Source organism: Homo sapiens, chromosome 8, assembly GCF_000001405.40.
Source record: "Homo sapiens chromosome 8, GRCh38.p14 Primary Assembly".
Lineage (NCBI taxonomy): Eukaryota > Metazoa > Chordata > Mammalia > Primates > Hominidae > Homo > Homo sapiens.
In genome coordinates this window covers 58,846,320-58,866,464 of record NC_000008.11, presented here as the reverse complement: position 1 = coordinate 58,866,464, position 20,145 = coordinate 58,846,320, and the positions used below count along the sequence as shown (strand labels likewise).

General features: G+C 36.6%; 1 protein-coding gene across 1 annotated transcript in view; it reads left to right on the top strand.

The window, feature by feature from the left end:
• Positions 1-20,145, top strand: part of TOX (thymocyte selection associated high mobility group box) — a 313,736-nt gene that overhangs the window by 252,683 nt on the left and 40,908 nt on the right. Inside the window, exon 4 of the mRNA NM_014729.3 lies at positions 14,660-14,941. Coding sequence (NP_055544.1) covers positions 14,660-14,941 — 282 coding nt within the window. The remainder of the gene's footprint in view (positions 1-14,659; positions 14,942-20,145) is intronic.

Genomic DNA, 20,145 nt, shown 5'->3' with positions numbered 1-20,145 from the left:
CTTTGTTGCAATTAAGGTTTTGTAATAAATAATGCTGCTATTTTTTATTCCTGTGGCATTAAAATGTGTGAGGCTTATCAGTCTGGTAATTATGTAAATCCTAAAATAATTTATCCTTTTTAGTGTCTGGCAGTCTGACCCTGTTGGAGGTTATTGAACCACTGCTTGATGAGTATGTCAGTCAGTGTACCTTCTCATCCAGCAATCCCTGTATAACTAAGTGCAAGTCAACTCTTTTACAATACAGAAATTTATTGTTTAAGTGGTTCTGTTAGTATATAGACTTAGGCCACAGTCGTACTTTGTTGTTGTTAAAAACATGTCACTGTCAGCCAGGCACAGTGGCTCATGCCTATAATCCCAGCACTTTGGGAGGCTGAGGCGGGTGGATCACCTGAAGTCAGGAGTTTGAGACCAGCCTGGGCAACATGGTAAAACCCTGTCTCTACTAAAAGTACAAAAATTAGCCAAGTGTGGTGTCAGGTGCCTGTAATCCCAGCTATTCCAGAGGCTGAGGCAGGAGAATCACTTGAACCTGGGAGGTGGAGGTTGCAGTGAGCCAAGATCGTGCCACTGCACTCCAGCCTGGACGACAGAGTGAGACTCTGTCTCAGGACAAAAAAAAAAAAAAAAAAAAGCCACTGTCATTACCATAATTAAGAAAAAAGATAGTGAAATGACAAAATGAATATTACTTCTAATTTTAAAAAATTCCCCTGGCAGATTAAAATCTCTACTAACGACTCCAAACAATACTCTCAATTAGCTGACTCATATTTTCTTTTTCTTTTCTTTTTGTTTTTACCACATAAAGACCGAAAATATATTTAAGAAGGGCATGTCCACAGAGCAGCATACAATTGCTTTAGTCTGTTCCATATTCCATAACCACAAAACTTCACAATTATAATTGAGGGGAAAATTTATTCTCTTGAAATCCTTTCAAGATTTTATTGAGAATCAGGTATTTAACAGGGACAGAAAAGCAGGCAAAGGCATTCTAGAACAGTTTTCAACAAGAATTAAAACTAAAAAAAAAAAAGTACGAGGATACCAAATTAAATTTTTAAAAACACTGTTTTCTGAGAATATTTGGACATTTTACCAAAATTGTGTTATCCTGATTGTTGGCATGAATATTCAGAGTTAACTGCAAACTTAATTGAATTCTTATTCTGAGACAGCCTTCCAATATATAATGGCAGGGACCACACCAGAGTCATTATAATCAACATATGTATTCATTACTCTCCTGTGGTTAAACCCCTTGTACACAATTTTAAAAGCTTACAATGGCCTAGAAATGGTTCCACAGGCTTTGCTGGGTCTTTAAGGTCAACATCTCCTCAGTGTCTCACCCATCCACCACCTTCCTCAGTTAGATTGCATGGGAGAGATGCCACTTAATGGTTAAGTGGGAAAAGTTGTCTTCATCTAAAACTGAATGTAGGGAAAGCTCTTCTTTTCTGATACAAGTTTCTGATACCAGCTCTCATAAACCCATCAAGCATCCATTTAGTCTTTCACTGTTAAAGTGAAAGGAAACTGTATTTTTTAAGCGAACGATGTCTACTCAGTGTTTATGCCTCACAATGAATTTGTTCCAAGTTCCTTTTCCCTTTCAATTTTGTCTCAGAGAGTTATTAAGCTTTCACATAATTAAGCCATGATCCCCGTCTGGGCCCACAGTAAGACTTGTGCACTCTCCACCTTCTCTTACAGAGTGTTTTGCTTTCATTCTTCCCTTCTAGAAAACATGCTTTACTAACAAGTGAAAGGCACTGATTGACAAGTGAAACAATATAAAGAAAGGTTTTGATGGAAATGTTTGTCAGTCACTCTGTGAAAGCATAATTTATGTGGCAACATTTTTAGCTAATGAAATGAACGTTGTAAAGCTCTAGATAAAAATGGCTACTGTTGCTGTACCCATAAATGTTTTTTAGGACCCAATGAAAAAACCCAAGTTATTTTTGAAACGTTAGGCCCATATTTGGGGACTGGTGAAATGGTCTCTCTGCTAATATAGTATCAAATGGTAGTGTATTTTTTATTTTTGTTTTTTGATTTCTTTCAGTTAAAACAACTTTATACCTCAGAATATATTCTGACATATAGTCTTGAAACTACAGACTAAGTCTAGTCATCCTAAGACTTACAGGACAATACACTTAAGAATCACATTGCTAATTCCCAAACAGAAATCAAACTGTCAGATAGCTTTTAGCCACATTTTTTAAAGTATAATTTGATTGTATGTTGAATTTTTGAGGTTTTAAACTCATCCTTATCATTGGATGAAAGGCCACATGATTGTTTTATTTTTGTTCAATTTTCTTTCACACTATCTTAGACATATCATTACTTTTATGAAAATATAGCAGATGTACTGACTGTCAAACAATTAGATGGTGTGTCTGCTGTCAATTATATTGCCTCCGGAGTTAAATTCTACTCATGTACCTTCTGATGTTAAAAAAAAAATTCTTAATTCTAAGTGATGCTCACTGCAATTTTAATGCAATGCAGACAGACTCCTTGTTGCAGCATTATTCTCTGCAATTCTATAGCAGTGCAATTTTGGTTATAGCAATTAATCCCCTTTGACTTGTATTATAGTATGTCTTCCAGGCTGTGAGTTATTTGAGTACAGGGATAGTCTCATCTGTCTTTGTTTCCCCTAGGACCTCTCACAGTGCGAGGCACAGAGTAAGTGTTCAGTTAAAAAAAAAATTAATTGAATTTCCTGCAAAAGAAATTAGTGCATTAAATTCAGTCATTCTAGGTTCTAGCTGCATCCTCCCCTATAAGTCCTTCCAACTATCTTTTGTTTAAAGAACAGCTAAAAACATCATCAGATCATACACTGAGTCAATAGTACAGTTCCATGGTTATGATATAGGCTTTGAGATCAGGCGCCCTGTGACAAATTGCAGCTGACCCACTTACTGAATAACTGGAGAATGCCCTCTCTGTTCCTTTGGGTCCCTCGTGAGTACCATGGCAGTGGCGACTGTAACAGTTTCACCTGGTTGCTGTGAGTCCTAAATAGGGTAATTCATGGAAACTTCTTAGTACCGTGCTTAGTATATTAGGTGGGACCTGTCAGTATTAGATATTTTTAATAAGAGAACTTAAAATCACAATTACCAAAGGCTAAGAATGGGCATTTGAGGAAACTGATATGAGGACAGTTACCTGCTTGTGAGAGAGAGACCAGTTCAAATCAGTTGTGCTGAGTATAGTCACTTGGAGAAATAGAGATTGAAAATGTGAAAGATATATTTCCTATTTTTCAATAATACCTAAATTTATTTATGCCACTTGTCACACAGGGCTATAATCATGCAGGATTATGATTTTTTTTAACACTTTAGACCATAATGACATAATTTCAATGTATATTTGGTAGGTGTTAAACCAGTAAATGATAGATAATTCAAATTATTAACATTAGTGCTTTAAAGTCAGTCACTATTAAAACCTTATTATTAGTTGAGAGGGTCTATGTTAGTGGACATGGAACTATCCCCCCAAAATGGAAGATATTTGTTCAAATTAAAATTAGAACATGTAGTTCATATATTCTAAATGAACATGTGTGCCTCTGTAATAATAACTTTATTATCACCAAGTTACAGGATAGAGTTTTAATTATGATCTTTATATCAGTAGAAGCCATGTATTTAGGATTAAAGACCTACTGCTTTAGCTAGTCTAGTTAAAGACTATGGCTTGATACATTCTGGGCTCCAACTTTTATAAAAACCAGAGAATACTTCTAATAACACTTTTCTAATTTCATGGTTCGGTGCACAGTCAGTAAAGATTTAAATAATTCAGAAAGAAAGCCTATTCTCTTTCTTTATTAGAAGTTTGAGTCAGGCAAATTCTTTGACATTTAATAGGTTTTTAACCCTTTTAATAACTTTTTATAATGAAATTTATTGGCTGTTGTTTTAAAGAAAGGATCATTATATTAGCATGAATAGCAGTCACTAGTTTTTATGATTAGTTTTGAGACCTTGACCTTATGTGACTCAAAGTTTATAAAACCATAAATGAGTGAGTGATGTTAATATTAACTAAATTAGGTATACCTAGAAATATTGAGACTATATATAATTACATCTATCCCATTATCTAACATGCTATAAAATTTTGGCAGACAAATATTTGAATCTTGTAATTGTTTTAAAGGAGCTTAAGGTCACTTACAGAGTCAGACACTTTAAAATAGCTGAAAGACATTGTAATTTTCCTAGAATGATTGTTCCAAGTTATTAATACCATGCTCAAAAGGAGAGGATTTCCAGCCTTTTCCTGTCTTCGTTTCATGCTATTTTAATGTTTTATAATGTATTATTTGAAAGGATTATTGGATGATTTCCATAATAAAATACTAATGTAAAAATTGTACTTTTCTTCAAGTCTCCAATAAGTTGGGGCATACAAGTATTCTGCACAGGGAAGCTGTCTGGCTCAAGCAGAATATAAGGTTTTAATTTTGCTTCTTAAGATGTATTTTTAAGCTGAATGTCACGTGTATCTAATGATTTAAGTGCCTCTAAATGAACTCAAATATCAATGTTCTGAACTGATGTTAGGAAGTCAATATCCCACTTGACATCTCTATTTTTGCAAGCATCCCATTAACATTCCGTGGAAAAATATGAGAAAGCAACTTAAATTCCCAAGTTTAAATATGGTGTGAAGAAGCATTCTTGCTAGCTCATGCTGCTATGAATACACAGAGGTAGTTCTAGTAAGTGATCCGCTACTCCCAGACGGCATGTCTCCCAGTACGTCCCAATTTTCTTATTACTTAACCTACACTTCCAATCCATTCTTTTTATTTCAATGCACACAATCCTTTGAAAGTATTCTAGAAATAAAGCACATTATTCAGTCCCTTCTCTGGGCACATCAAAACAAAGGAGATATGAGCAAACAGTAGCATGTTTGATACACTTTTAATATAAAATCATAGCCCCTTGTGAACAAAACACTGCCTACACTTTGTAGCACAGATGCAAAAGTCATGATCTATACAAATACAAATAAAAGGCTTCGTTGATTCTAATCATAGGTAGACCCAGAGCACATTCATAAACTCCCCTTACCAGAGATGTAATTTGTAGGAACTGCTAATTCAGATGTTTTGGGAATCAGAGGGTGGACCACATGATCCCCAGAGCTCTTTTAGACAGGACAGACCCTTTAGTCCGTGAGCCTCTCATGTCCTGCCATTATCTGCAGTTATGAGAGATGCACCTTGTCAAGTAAAAGTAAACTTTGCCTGTTGCCCATTTGCACATTTCCTTTATTTTCGCTGGGCAGGAAAGCCCTTTCAAGGGCTCACTGAAGCACGGTGTGTCAAACTTGGTAATATTGACGTTGATAGTTTAAGATTCACAGCAGGAAACAAATGGCATTGGCATGAAGCAATCAGAAACGAGGTGGCTCAATCTGAGTAAAAAACATCTTTCCAACTGTGCAGTTAAAGGGCAACGCTATACGCCATAACCTCCTGGCCGAAGTTGTGATCCAAAAGAGAGATTATATGTACATAGTTGATGGAAAAGAATGCTGTCCTATGAACTGGAATACCTTTTTATACGTTAAAATGTTTTTGAACTTTGTATCTACCAGTTAGCCTATTAGCCTTGATCAGGGAGCTATTAAAACCCAGGTTATAAGTTCAACCTTTATCTGTGCTGTTGACTTTCTCTCAGTGAAACCCTGTGCTCTGTGACTGTAAGCTGCCCTGCTTATCCCAGGGAAGGTCCCCATAGATACAAGCTTTTGGCTGCCAGAATGTTTGGTCATAATTGTGTCAGTGGCTCACCAGGGACCAGAACTGGTCAGGGAAAGCAACTCAAGGATAATAACCGAAGAGAACCATCAGCGTGAGCAGCAACCACAAAAATGAATTCATTTGTGACAAAATGCATTCGTAGTCCTTATCTTAGTTAATCCTCACAGTCATGTTTTAAGGAAGCATTTAAGGTCAGTACACTCCTCTCCTATTTGTCTCCTTACAACATCTCACTGTCCTAAAATATTTATTGTCTTGTCTGTCTCTTCCACTAGGAAGTGAGCTGCATCAGGGCACGAATTCCAACTACATGGTCACCACTGTGGACCAGGTACCTAAGACAGTGCCTGGCACATAGCAGGCACTCAATAAATATTTGTTGGTGAAAAATTATCCTCTTTTTATGAGTTGAAAAATGAGGGTTAAAGAAGTTGAAAGTAAGACAACTCATTAGAAACAGTGGCAGCTAGGTGTCATGAACAGGGTTGCCTCCACAATAGCACACGGCCCCCCTCTCCTTTAGAGAAAGGAAAAAAATCGAATAAAATGGCGTAAAATTGCTTTTTCAGTTGTTTATAGATATAAATCCAGATGCATACACTAGAGCAACTAAGACACTTCTTTCTGGATCTGCTGGATGTGGCAGCAATTGCAGTGGAGTTCTGCAGAGGAGGCCAGGCAAGGGCACTAAGGGCGTTAACAGGTTCAGGGTCCCCCTTCTCTCTGTTGCTTGCTGCTCTTCAATATCTGATCTTTGGTTCATCCCTGGGAGACGATGTACAAACAAACAAACACCAAAACTGGTGACATGGTTTTTAGCCAGTGTGATTTTTAGCCATCACTTTTAAGACTCTTCAGTGATGTTTTGCTCTGAACACACCAAATTCCTTGAGTAATAAGGGGCCCATTCGTGGAAGAAGCCACAATGGAGAGACCACAGTGTAAAGGAGTGAGATGGTCAGGTAATGTAGAAGTCAGGCAGTGTGAGCACTGGTTTCTGAGGCAGTTTTAATCTTCTCTGAAGATGGTGGTTCTAGAGAGTACTATGGCTGTTCATTTGGCAAATATCTAATAAATTGTGCTCCAGGGTTCTTACTTTCTTGTGATAAATTGTTTTATAATGACTAATTACCCTAACTAAACTACAGGTATTCTATTGTAGCGTACTGTAAAGAAAGCTGAACCCTACTTGTTGCTATTGTCTTTTGAAAGAAAAGCGAAGATTCCAAATATTAAATACAAAAACAATTTTGTTTTTGGAAATGCAGAGTTGAAATCAAGTTATTCTAAATTAAAATACTGAGGATAAAAATACATTTTTATAAAAATGTCCAACCTTTCTTTTGAACCTCACTTGTCTCAATCTTTAAAAATATAGCAAGTTCTGTGCATATGTATTTTTCCAAATTTTCCCTCTTTCATTGTTAATTATCAGTGTTCAGTGCAACTAATTGAAGTCTAATAGCAAAAATCTTAAAATAAAGTTTATTTAAAGTACACATTTCTACATAATAAATAGATCACAAGAAGGTCACGTAAAAACGATTTATTTAATGTGTTTGGACAACAAATAATTAAGCTCTCTCGGAAATGCATTTAGGAAAATAATAAATAAATTTTGATTATTAAATTTCCCCACACATTTATTCTGTTGTATACATTTACATATTAATTGAATCCCTGGCAAAAATATGTAATCAAATTGGGGACTTAAATAATATCAACATTTACATTCTTCTCATAGACTCTTAGAGTGCATTATTCCTAAGAAAAATGAAACCGCTTTGCCTTCCTGCCCTAATTAATCATGCAGGCCTGCATGGACAGCCAAGAGCAAGGCTCAGAAGTTTTTCTTAAGGTGCTATGAACGGTGTGTGTTTGATAGTGTGTATAAAAGGGACCGAGAGGAAGCACTTGTCACAGCTAAAGCCAGCAGGGTCTCCTTATTGCCCTGGGGAAAGCACTCCACAGCTCAGGGTGTCAAATGCTGACAGACAGGGGTAAATGGACGGGCTTGAGAGATTCCTCACGTTCTCCTGCTCCTGCTGCAACTGGCAGCCTTCCAGGCCTTGCCTGCAAAGACCACAGAAAGCAGCAGCTGGTGAGCCACATTAGCAAATAAGGCCTCAGGGCTACCCATGTTCCAGCGCTCTGTGCACCAACTGCTATTCACTCTAACAGCTGGATCAGAGCAGAGCCAGCCGAGGCGGTGGTGCAGTTTTATGTGTACAACTGTTTTGATATAGATTGTCTGCTAGAGGCAGAGATAATGATAGCTTTCAAGGCTGGTGTGTTGGACGGGGAAGGATGCAGATACTTGAAGGAGGAATACAGACTCTGGAAGGATTGTGAAGCACACAGAGTTTTAAACACTGAAAGGCAGGCCCTCCATCGTTCTGGTGCCATTCAAGTATGTGATTTTAACACTATTTCATCACTAACATGACTAATGTTATTCCAAGGATTTTTTTTTCACCATTCCAGTTACACCAAAATCTTACTCATTTTTTAAAAATAATAACCTGAGATGAGCACAGGGTTTTTATTTTTCTTTTGCTTTTCAAAGAAAATCCAAGGAGCCAGTCACAGTGGCTCACGCCTGTAATCCCAACACTTTGGGAGGCCGAGGTGGGTGGATCACCTGAGGTCAGGAGTTCAAGACCAGCCTGACCAACATGGTGAAACCCTGTCTTTACTAAAAATACAACAAGTAGCTGGGTGTTGTGGCACATGCCTGTAATCCCAACTACTCAGGAGGCTGAGGCAGGAGAATCACTCGAACCTGGGAGGCGGAGGTTGCAGTGAGCCAATGTCGTGCAAATGCACTGTAGCCTGTGCGACAGAGTAAGAGTCCATCTCAAAGAAAAAAAAAAGAAAGAAAATCAAAGGAAAGAAAGTGAAAACATATGCTGAAATATGTAGCTAATATTGTGCCTCATGTTTGCACCTTGAGCTCTGTCCTCAACGTGGCACTCTTCAGCTCTAGGTAACCAGACAAGGGGAGAAAGGAACATGGCCTTAGCATCAAGGCAGGTCATGAGGGACAATACATGACTTCAGCTTTGGCTTCCTAATTGATTTTAATGGGACTTTTGTTTTGCATTAATTGGAAAAATTGAAATCTCCTCTTCATCATTATAATACCCCTTCATTATTTTAATTGACAATGGTCATCAATAGCAATGTAAATTTTTAGGAAACAGATCTGTCTTCCAAAAAAGTGAAACCTAGCACCCATTTTCAAATGGACAGAGTTTTGCAAATGGTGAGATAAATATTAAGAGCCACGCAACACTAAAATGCCAATGACATGCAGGACATTTTGCCAAGAAAATATGAAGTTCATTAGGCTTGAAAATAAACAAAATGAGGAACACACACATGAGAAATTACCTTTGAGACATTTGAGCCCTAGAATTTAGCAAATGAAGTTCCCAAAAGATTAAGGATTTATAACAACTATTTATGTGAAGCTGGCATCATCAATTCTAATTGTACCAGACCTAAACATCTATTCAGTGTTAACTCAAGAAATATGTATTGAGTTCCTACTACGTGCCAAGATCTGTTCTAGATACTAGGGCTATAATGGTGAACAAAATAAATTCTCTCCCAGCTTTTTAAAGTTTATAATCTGTTAGGGTGTATCAGTTAGGATTATGTTGGGCTGCCTATAACAGAAAACCCCAAATGTCAGTAATTCTGCAATGACAGACATTTACTTCCCTTTCACTCCCACTGTAAGTAGGTTGTCCAGGCTCCAGAATAATCACACCCTCAGCCTCCTTTCTTGTGCCTTCAGCGTCCTTATGGTGCCATGTCTTGGTCCAAGATATTTTCCCTAGCTCTCTCCATCACCTCCACGTTTTTGCCAGCAGGAACTTGAAAAAAAAAAAAACAAAGGAAGGTGAGCCCCTCCCTTCATGGAGACTTCTTGGAAGCACCACACGAGGATTCCGCTTACATTTCATTGTCACAGGGCCATGCATAGCTGCAAAGGAAGCTACAAATGTCCTCCTTGAGCCAGCTAGAGGGGCCCATTTTTCAGCACAAAAGGAAAATGAGTGTAGGAGGGTAGCTTGAGGCTTCTGCCACAAAGGGAAATGGACATTAATCAAGTCTTTTCATCTTGTGACTAAGAAGTTCCCAGGAAAAAAGAAAAATCATCAGACTAGTTAAAGTCAGTTTATACTGATGAATTCATTTCCTTAGTTACACACTGACACAGCAAATATTTTTTGAATATTTGGAATACCATTTAACTAAAAGATATCTCAAGAGGGATTGAAAAATGCATTAGTCATGAACTAATCAAGGAGATTATTATCTAGAAGGTACATACATGTTAAAGAAATAAATTTTAAAGTGGTGTCCCATAAAGAAAGTATAAACAAAATGCTTTGGCAATTCAGAATAAGAAGGTTCTTGGAGCCTTATAGATAAGGTGACCTTTGAACTTGACTTTAAAGTACATTTAGGGTTTGGATATATGAAGATGGTAAAGGCAGCATGGAATCGTGGGGAAAGTACAAGTATGTAAAAAAAGTATATTTCATTTTTACTTCAGTCTTTGTTGATAGAAAGATCTGAGATCATTTAACCTCTCTGTGGGCTTTTGCAAAGCAGCTATTCCTACATGGCTCCCTCAAAGGGAAGTTACAAGGATCAATAAGTAAAAGTACTGGGCAAACCACAAATCACTGAGCAAAGTATGGGGTTTTTCCCCTCTTTTTAATAACTTTAGACAGCAAATTCTCGGAAAATGGTAATTGAATAATGACAGAGCAGCGTAAACAAAGACGCATGATTAAGGGAGAGAGATTTAGGTAAAAAAGGAGCAATTGGATTTGACTGAACAATAGAGTAGATGAAGGATGGTTATAGGTGTGAGTTTCATTTGGAAGGTTTCATGTCATGCTGAACAGTTTGGATTTAATTTGGGGGACAGATGTCATTGGAGAATTTTTGAGCCCATGGCTCATGAAGATTAATTTTGTACCACTCTTTGGGGTAGATGTAAAGAGACCAATTTTAGTTAAGCAGCTATTGCAAGTGAAAAGATAATTAAGGCCTGGATAGATGAATGGGTGTGGAAACGGGTGGAAGGGCAGATGGAAATAATTGATGTTTCAGGGTAGACCCAACAGAACTCACAAGAGTTTGGTAGAAAAGGAAAGAGTCAAAAATGACTGCAACATTTTGAGTAGAGGTGACAAGGAAGATGAAGGTGTCATCAACAGATATTGGTCAGACAGAAAAAAAATAGATTTGAGAAAGAAAACTTTGTTCACATTTCTAGCAAGAATGATGTCCAAGTAGTAATGTCTCACAAGCAATTGCAGACTTAGGCTTGGAATTTGGGTCAGAATTGTACATTTTAGTTGAGAACATTTCCCATTAATAAAACCATGGCAAATTTTATCTGGGTGGAAGAAATGTGACTCAGAATAACATGTTAAGGAATCACTTAGAGGTGGGACGTTGTAGAAAAAAGAGAAGTCAGTGAAGGGGTTGAGAAGAATCAGAAAGAACAACCATTGCAATTAAGCATGACTTAAGTGAATTATTCAAAATAAATTTAAAATATTGGTGATTAACAGGAAATAATATTCTGCTACTTCAGGTTTTGCATTTGACATGACAGAGCTGTAGTCAATCAATATCTTTACAGCAGGAAACCAATAGTCAAAACATTAGCTTACTTGCATGATCTAACTAATTATTCATATTTTCAGTAATCAAACTTTATCGAGTTTAATTTTCCCCATATTATACATTAGGCAGTGATTAATACTGAACTGTCTCTTAGGAAAACAAGGTAAGTGGAAATACTCCTCCTAATTCAGAAATGTTGCCATGGGTAGATCCCACTGTTTGTAAGTGTATCTGAGGACTGAAGACACAGATATGCTCCCTCATTTGTGCTTGCCATGCTCCACACAGGAAAAGAGTGCTTTGATTTGGTATTCAAGCTGTCTGCCTGACCTAACACCACTGGTGACAGGATACATTGAACTAATGATGAGACTGTGGAAAGAGAGGTACCCTCTTGAGTACTTCACCATCCTTACCCAGATTGATACTTTACTCTTCCATAGCCACACCCACCTTCTTCTCCTTCCATTGCAAGAGTGGGAATGCAGATTTTAGTGTCCAGAGATCTACACACTACACAAATTAACATGAGAAAACATCTTAGAAGATTGCAAGACAGGGGAGGAGAGAAAGTGCGATAAAGTGAAGATTGCTTCAAGCTTTTGGAACACTTTTAGTTGTAGTCATAAATCTGGAACTCCACATGAAAATTAATTTAGAAACCATCCTCTCTGATATATTAAAACCACAAGATTTCTGAAAGGATGAGAAGAAATGGGCTCAATACAGACATGTTACAGACTGTACGTGTTTTGTAACTTGGGATTTATGTGAAGGAGAAATAAAGATAGCAATTAGTTACATACTTTTGGAAAGATCATTTAGTTGAAGTATGATTTTGCTACTAAATGCTTTTCATTTACAAGGCTATAAAACATATAAGTTGGAATATGCACATTAGTGCTTTATTTGGTTCAGGGTTGGGAAAGAAGACTGCCCCCCTGTAGGATAGTGTCCACTTACAGGTAGCCATTACTCTGTGCCCATAATGGGAGCTTTTCTGCATGCTAAGGGTCTAAAAACATACAGGACTTGAGGACATTTGACAGTAGGCCTGAAAAGAAATTTAGTATACACTGTCTCTTCTGTGTATTTTTAAAAATCAGTCCTAATTTTCATGGTACCCTCTGTCCTTGGCACAACTTTAAGGATATCAGTGAAAGTTAGTATTATTTCATAAAGAAGATCAGATTGTAGAAGTTACATGTACATCTAAGAAGAGGCAACAACCATTTTAGTAAATGTGACTGAAGGCAACATGAATGGGCTAGATAAAACCATTGTTGATTTGGGTAGACAACATTTGAAAATGCATTTTTAAGTATCTTTAATTAACTGTAATCCTTTTTATGGAATATGTAAAATGTTGAATCAGCTGCTTAACACAGTGGGAAGTATCAAAGACTGGAATTAGGAGAGGTGGGTTTTATCTTTGGTTTTGGTCAAGTCATTTGATCTCTTTGGGTTTCACTCCTTCATTTATTCATTTATAATTATTTATATACTTATTCCACAAACATTCAACAAGCTTGCACTATCATCACCCCCTCCCAGTTTTCCTCTTCCATAGACTGACAGTGTCACCAAGAGCCTTTGCAGCTCTTGCATGCACCATTGAATAGTAAAAGCTGCTTTATGAGGGACATCACAGAAAGGAGAATCCTGAACTACTTTTGAAGGCTTGGAGGAATACAGTTTGGATAATGGAAAAAACGTTGATTCGGACTTAGAAAAGGCAGGTACAAATCATGAGGCCAGCCAGAGGTCTAGGATACCTTGAACTGTGCGTGAAGACTGAGAAGTAACCAAAGTTGGAAAGGAGCTAAAGGAGTGAAATTGACTAATAAGAGGCCTCATGGTGGAGGCAGTAAATGCGTTCCGGAGAAGAACACAGGGCACACATGGGGGCTGTGGACAGCCTCAGTTTTAGCTTTAGGTGAATCTAACTAGATTGGTAAAATGACTACAGGGAAAATGGTGTAAAATGATTTTACTATCATAAAAACAAAAACAAGAACCTATGACTAGGTTACTTAATTTGCCTTCACAGTATTTTCACGTCACAATAACATTTGCAGACAGGTCATTGCTAAACATCTGATACTTTGTGGGATTTTCTTTTCTAATGAAACAGAATAAGGTAACATTATTACTTTTTCACTTCCAACGTGTAACTTTAACCATATATCTTTTTTCCTCACAGTTTTCTTGTTTTTCTCTCTTGTTTTGTGTGCCCTCTACCTGCCTGAATTCCTCAGCTCCCCTCAGGATGAAAAAACTGAGCTGCTCCAATAAGCACCATGAAATATTCTCCATTATTTTAAGTTTGAAAATGCCAGAGAAATGTTAAGTGAAATTCTCCATACTCCTCTTATACAATACATTTGACCTCTAGATACCTTAAAAGCTTCATCCTCCAATGCTTTTAATTCTAATCCTTGCAGAGACAAAATTCATTGCTTGAATTACAAGAGTGAGTCTCATTAAGGCTAAAAACCAGTGACTCAGATAGCATAATGGATTAATATGTTGACCTTGCAATTTTAGAGCTTTACTTTCAAGTCTGACTGTGCAGTCATTTCAATAGTCAATTAATAATTGGTTAATACCAGCCTATCAGTGTTTTGAGTCTGGTAGTTAGGAGATCATTTTGGCTAGTAATACCCTGTAAAGCTTTAAACTGAGTACAAGAGTATACTTATTAACTCCCAAAGCCTTTCTTAAATGATGAAGATAAAACAAACAGGGTTTAATGAATTTTTGTGAATATTGTAATCACTAATAATTGAATAATTTTGACAGACACTCTAATGAGCATCAACATCTTGAAACTTACGTTATATAAATATGATCATGCTGTAATATACAAATACATATATAAATAATATATTTCTATATTTCACTAGTGTAGAAAGACTGTAAATATAATTAATCACATCTTGAGTAATGAAGTATGATGCTAACTGGATTCTCAAATTCCAGTCTTTTGGTAGTCTTATGCTATCCTTTATGGTGATATATACTTTTAGGATTATTTTACCCCAGATAAAATAAATGTGTATGTAACTCAGCAGAACATCTGGAAATCTAAAGAATTATTACTTTTTTGCCCAAAACATATTTGTTAAAATTACTCCTTTCCTATTTATTTATTTATTTATTTATTTATTTATTTATTTATTGTAGATGCCAGATATACGAAACCCAGAAGGAACTCAGTACAGTTCCCATCCTCAGATGGCAGCCATGAGACCAAGGGGCCAGCCTGCAGACATCAGGCAGCAGCCAGGAATGATGCCACATGGCCAGCTGACTACCATTAACCAGTCACAGCTAAGTGCTCAACTTGGTTTGAATATGGGAGGAAGCAATGTTCCCCACAACTCACCATCTCCACCTGGAAGCAAGTCTGCAACTCCTTCACCATCCAGTTCAGTGCATGAAGATGAAGGCGATGATACCTCTAAGGTATGAATAAGTTATTTTTAGGACCTATGGGAGACTATTCTTAGGCACCTTCTTTGACCTGTGCTGGGTACAAGTTTATATCATCCATGCGAGAAACATTGGAGGGAGACACCTGCTTTGTTAATGAAGCATGAGGTTACAAACATACTGGATTAAACCACCTGCTTGTCCAATTACACTTTAAAGCCCCTGAGAAATCCTTTAAATATAGATGTGTTAAGCGTAAAAGTTGTTTGTGCCCACAGAAGGTTGGGCCTGTATATTCAATGTACCATTTTAAGAAGGCAGTATACTGGGGTACAATGAAGGTCGTGTGTGTGTGTGTGTGTGTGTGTGTGAGAGAGAGAGAGAGAGAGAGAGAGAGACAGAGAGAGAGAGGAGATGTATGGTGATGATGTTACATGAAACCTTTGTGGCCACCTGACCCAACCATTTCATATTGAGGACGTGGAAAGTAAGTGCCAGGGATATTAGATGACTCCTTTCCTGGGTGATTCATTGCATACCTTTTGTTAACGCCTTACCAATATAGTTGTTTATTTGTGTGTCTGTCACCAGCAGAGCCATTCTTTTAAGTTATCTGAATAGGAAGATGGGTTTTATGTCAGCCACCTTTTCTTCTTTTTACCATTGTGAGAATTTTGTTTTTGGAAAATTAAACTGTAAACATGCTACCAAAAGCAGCGCTGTGCAATCCTGATATACATGGTTAACTTTCTAGTAGCTTCGCTAAATTTTTTCAGTCCAGATAGTGATTCATCGATTTATTTAGCCTGATGACAAAGATAAGATTGCTGCATTGACTATATTTTCCTATTGTTTGTATTCTTGATGTTCTGGCATTTGGAGCCTTAATCCTGGAAATTCAGGGCTAGCTAATTTTTAGAGATTGCAGACGACACTCTGCTAGCCCCCTTTCTATAAACAAGCCAACAATTCACAGCTGCACCCCAAAACATCTCCTTTAAAAACTCTCACATATGAAGCCAGTATTCCCTCTACCCTACATCGCCCCTAGGCTAAGTGTCAGACAACTAGGGATCACTCCTTACAGCCCATAGCCTGCCAAAGTTATTCAAACTATCCAGTCCTAGGCTTACTCAGCATGCCAGCCTGCCTTGCCTATTCCTGCCCACAAAATCCCCAGTAAAGGCTCTGGGCATGCTCTGTCTTCTCCCTCTTTCTGTCTCCTGGCCAACCTGGGTACTTCCCTAGGTGGCCCTGTGGGCTCTGCTGTGCCTTCTCTTTCCAGGGATCTATGAATGGAAACTTCTTCCTCACAATCATCATTTCCATGTTTTCTGTCTTACCATACCTGACTGAAACAAATCCCAAGTACGTTTTAGAACAGCTGCAGAATCTAACACTGCCCAAGCCAATCCCTCCATCCTTACTGTCTCTCCCTGTTGTCAGTGAGTCAGCCTCTCATGAGTTAGGTGAAAAGGCAGGAAGAAACTAATTGATATTCATAAATAATTGACTGGGTTGCTGAAAGCCTTGCCTTTAGCTGACCATTTCCAGGGCAATAATTTTCTTCAGAAAATACAGGTTATTCCAATGGCTCCAGGTACTCATTGGCTGTTAGATTACACCTAATGGCCAATGAGTACCTGAACCCAAATGTGAACACTAATAATTTGTTTGTGGACAGTGATTTAGATTTTGATTATGCATGAATAATTCAAGTCAATTTGCTAAACACAGATGATATGTACTATATTGTAAGGCGAAAAAAATTAATGTTCTGCTCATAGTAAAGATCAATTTTTGTATCTGGATTGTGTCTTTATCAGTATTCATTCCTGACATTTCAGGAAATTAAATGCAAAATTAGTAGCATCCTCTGACAGTAAATTGTATACCGGATTATTCCTAATTACAATAACATTTTTCACAGTCTTCCACTTATATGAGTAGAAGAGTAGGTAGAAATCTGAAATTCATAGAATTAACATTCATGGGTTCTGCCATTTGCTATTAACCTGTTAGGTCCATATTTTGTAATTTTGCTAAAGCATGAATTTACATGTCTCCATGCTGATATGAAACTTTGCCAGTGGGTATCCTATTCAATCATTCAATATCCACATCTTGAAATAATTTATAACGCTTCATTTTAGTGGACTGTGTAAGCATTGCATAGTAAAACTCATATTCTATAGTGATAGATTATTGAATTATCAATGCAGGAAAGTTTAGGGATTGATTTCTAAGACTGCACCCATTAAAATGACTTTTTTATCTGCACAAACATTCATACGAATTCATGTTAAGTTTAAGTGTATTTTCCATCTCAAGAAAAGTAACCCTTCATTCCAATTCTATGCACTGTTTTTCACCTTGTCTCCAATTCAAATCCTCCTACTCATTTATTTGAGTTATATTATTATATTTATTTAAGCTAGAAAAATCCTCTGATGAAAATGTTAAAGCATTCTTCATTACAGTTAAGGATTAAACTGGATTTTTTCCTTTATATGTGAGTAGGATTTATGTGGAATGTTGTAGTGCAACAGCTCCAGTTAAATGTGAAATAGCATTAAGTCAAAAAGATCATTTAAATCATTTCTAACAAGTGAACTAAACAAGAATATTTAGTTCCACACCAGAAAAAGCTTTTAAAGCTTTCCTCTTAACACTTTGTGCTGTCTTTAAGCAATTATATATTGATTCCAGCTCATCTAATTGAACAATTAAATGAAATAAGTCTGTTTTGACAGACAGGAATATTGTAAATACATCAGTAAAATAAATTATCACCTTATAAACACTACCCGCGATTTTGATTGCTAGGAAACTGTGTTGACAGCCTTAAGTCATAATGAGACACAGTAAAGCATCAAAGAAATACAAACTTAGGCAGCTTGTGGTTCTAAGCCTGTAATCCCGTATTTGTAATATAAGAGATACTTTAAGACACATAAAGTATCTGACATTACAATCACATTTTTGGCACAGTTTTCTCTTTAAGGAAATTGTGGGTAAGAATCACATTATATATTTTTCTATCCTTTTACTTTCTGCTTTTCTGTTGAAAATATCCATGTTTTATCTGAGTGTCTCTTATAAATTTCGTGTAGTTAAATGAGCTTTTACTTTAAAATGAAATCTTTACTGCATTTACCTTACTATAAATATGAAAATAGGCTTGTTTTTCTAAGTATGTTACTTTCTGTTTATGCCACAAATATTTTATGTTTCTTTTTTTTCCTCATCTTCTTTAAGATTGCTCTTATTTTTCTCATTACATAATTTCCCATTTTGAGATTAGAGATTTTATATTCTTTCTCTTCTTTCAGTAGCTGTCCCTGGAATACAGCTATATAGAGGTCTAAAATTTACCAATATCTTTACCTTTTTTCTTAGATTACTTTAACTACATACACCTTCCGTTCAATTTATATTGGGAGCTGTTATTGTTGTTCATTCTAATTATAGTTTAATTGAATTCTGTAACTGAATAAACCTCATGAAACACTATTTTAATTATTTTATGAAGTTATTTTTCCTTTGGATTTATTCACATATATATTTCTTTCACCTGACATCTTTTTCTTTATGCCTTTAAAATGTTCTTTCATGAAGGTCTGCAGGGAACATGCTTACCTTAAAAAACACATTTGCTAGGTATAGAATTCTAGATTGGCAGTTATTTTCTTTCAGCGTTTTGAAGATATTATATTATTTCACTGAATCCTTGTTTTCACTATTGCTTTTGAGAATTTACTGCCTGACTGTCTTTCCTTTGAAAGTAACCTGACTTTACTCTCTGACTGCTTTTGAGATCTTCTCTTGTCTTTGGTGTCCTGCAGCTTCATGGTGATATGTGTGGGTTTCTTTGCATGCATTCCGATTGTAATCATTTCTGTCTATCAGCATTTTGGGGAAATTTTCATTCCTTATTTTTTTCAGATACTGCCTCTATCCCATTCTTGCTCCCTTCTCATGCTGTTATTCTCAGGGGATGAATATTAGACTTTCTCCTTTCCATGACTCTTTTTCATATTTTCTACTTCCTTGCCCCTATGTATTACATTCTGATTTAACTTATTTTCCAGCTCGTAATTCTCTTTTCAGCTATACCTAATCTGAAATGGTCTATTGCAATTTTAATCTCAAATATTTTATATTTTTGGTTTCATTTGGTTCCTTCTCAAATGAGTTTGGACTTCTTTCTTTAGTTGCTTGCTCTTTACCCATGTATTTAATCTCTTTTATTCTTGTAAGCATGTTCAACATATTTGTTTTATACCCTCTTTTGCTAATTTCAATACATGAAGTATTTTGAAGTCAGAATATGTTGGTTTTAATAGCTTGTTTCATTTTGCTTTTTGTACTTTTGAAATGAGAATTAATATTTATGAAAACTTTGTAAGAATTCTTTTAGAGCTTGTTTAAAGGTGGATTTCTCTGGGGATGATTTATATTTGTTTCTGCCACATATTTTGAACCATTAGAATCAAGAACCACACTTGGCCTGAATTTTTCAGACCACCCACATAGAGTATGTTCAGGCTACAAATCTTGCAAATGCTGGCTTTTGTTTGTGAATGAACACAAGAGATTTTGTTCCACTCTGCATTTGTAACAAGGTTCCAGAGCAGCCATTCTTGCATGTTCTGGGAGGTCACATACAAGGGAATGTTACTTCACCCTTGCACTGACAGTCTAATCTTTTACGTCTTGATTTAACAGGACCACTCCCATTACACATCTTGCTTTTGGTAAGGCATGGGGTTTGTCTTCTGTCTATTGCACTCTTAACTCAAATTCACACGAGGTTCAACAATATCTTCAGTATGAAAGCTGCCTTTAATACACGCGTCGTCTCTGAGTTCACTTCGTTTTTGCCTTTAAGAGTTTGTTACTAATTTGCTAGTTCATCAATGCATGTGCTCTGCCACACTAGACAGAAGCAGGAGGTTTTTTTCTCAAAGCAAATAGGATAAATCACTAGAGCAGCAATTAAATAAGCCTTTAGAGTAGGAGTTTTTATTTACCACTGCTCTGAAGACAAGAAGACTCCTGGAATAAAGTAGAAATGAGAAACAGACAGGTTTCTACAAATATTAAGTGAAATCAAACAGTGTTAGAACCAAATGTCAGGTTACTTTATCTAACTAGCAATGGGACAGAATACTTAAAACTGGGACTTGGAAGTCTGGTATTGTCATCATTGAACTGTACTTATATTGTAACTGTTC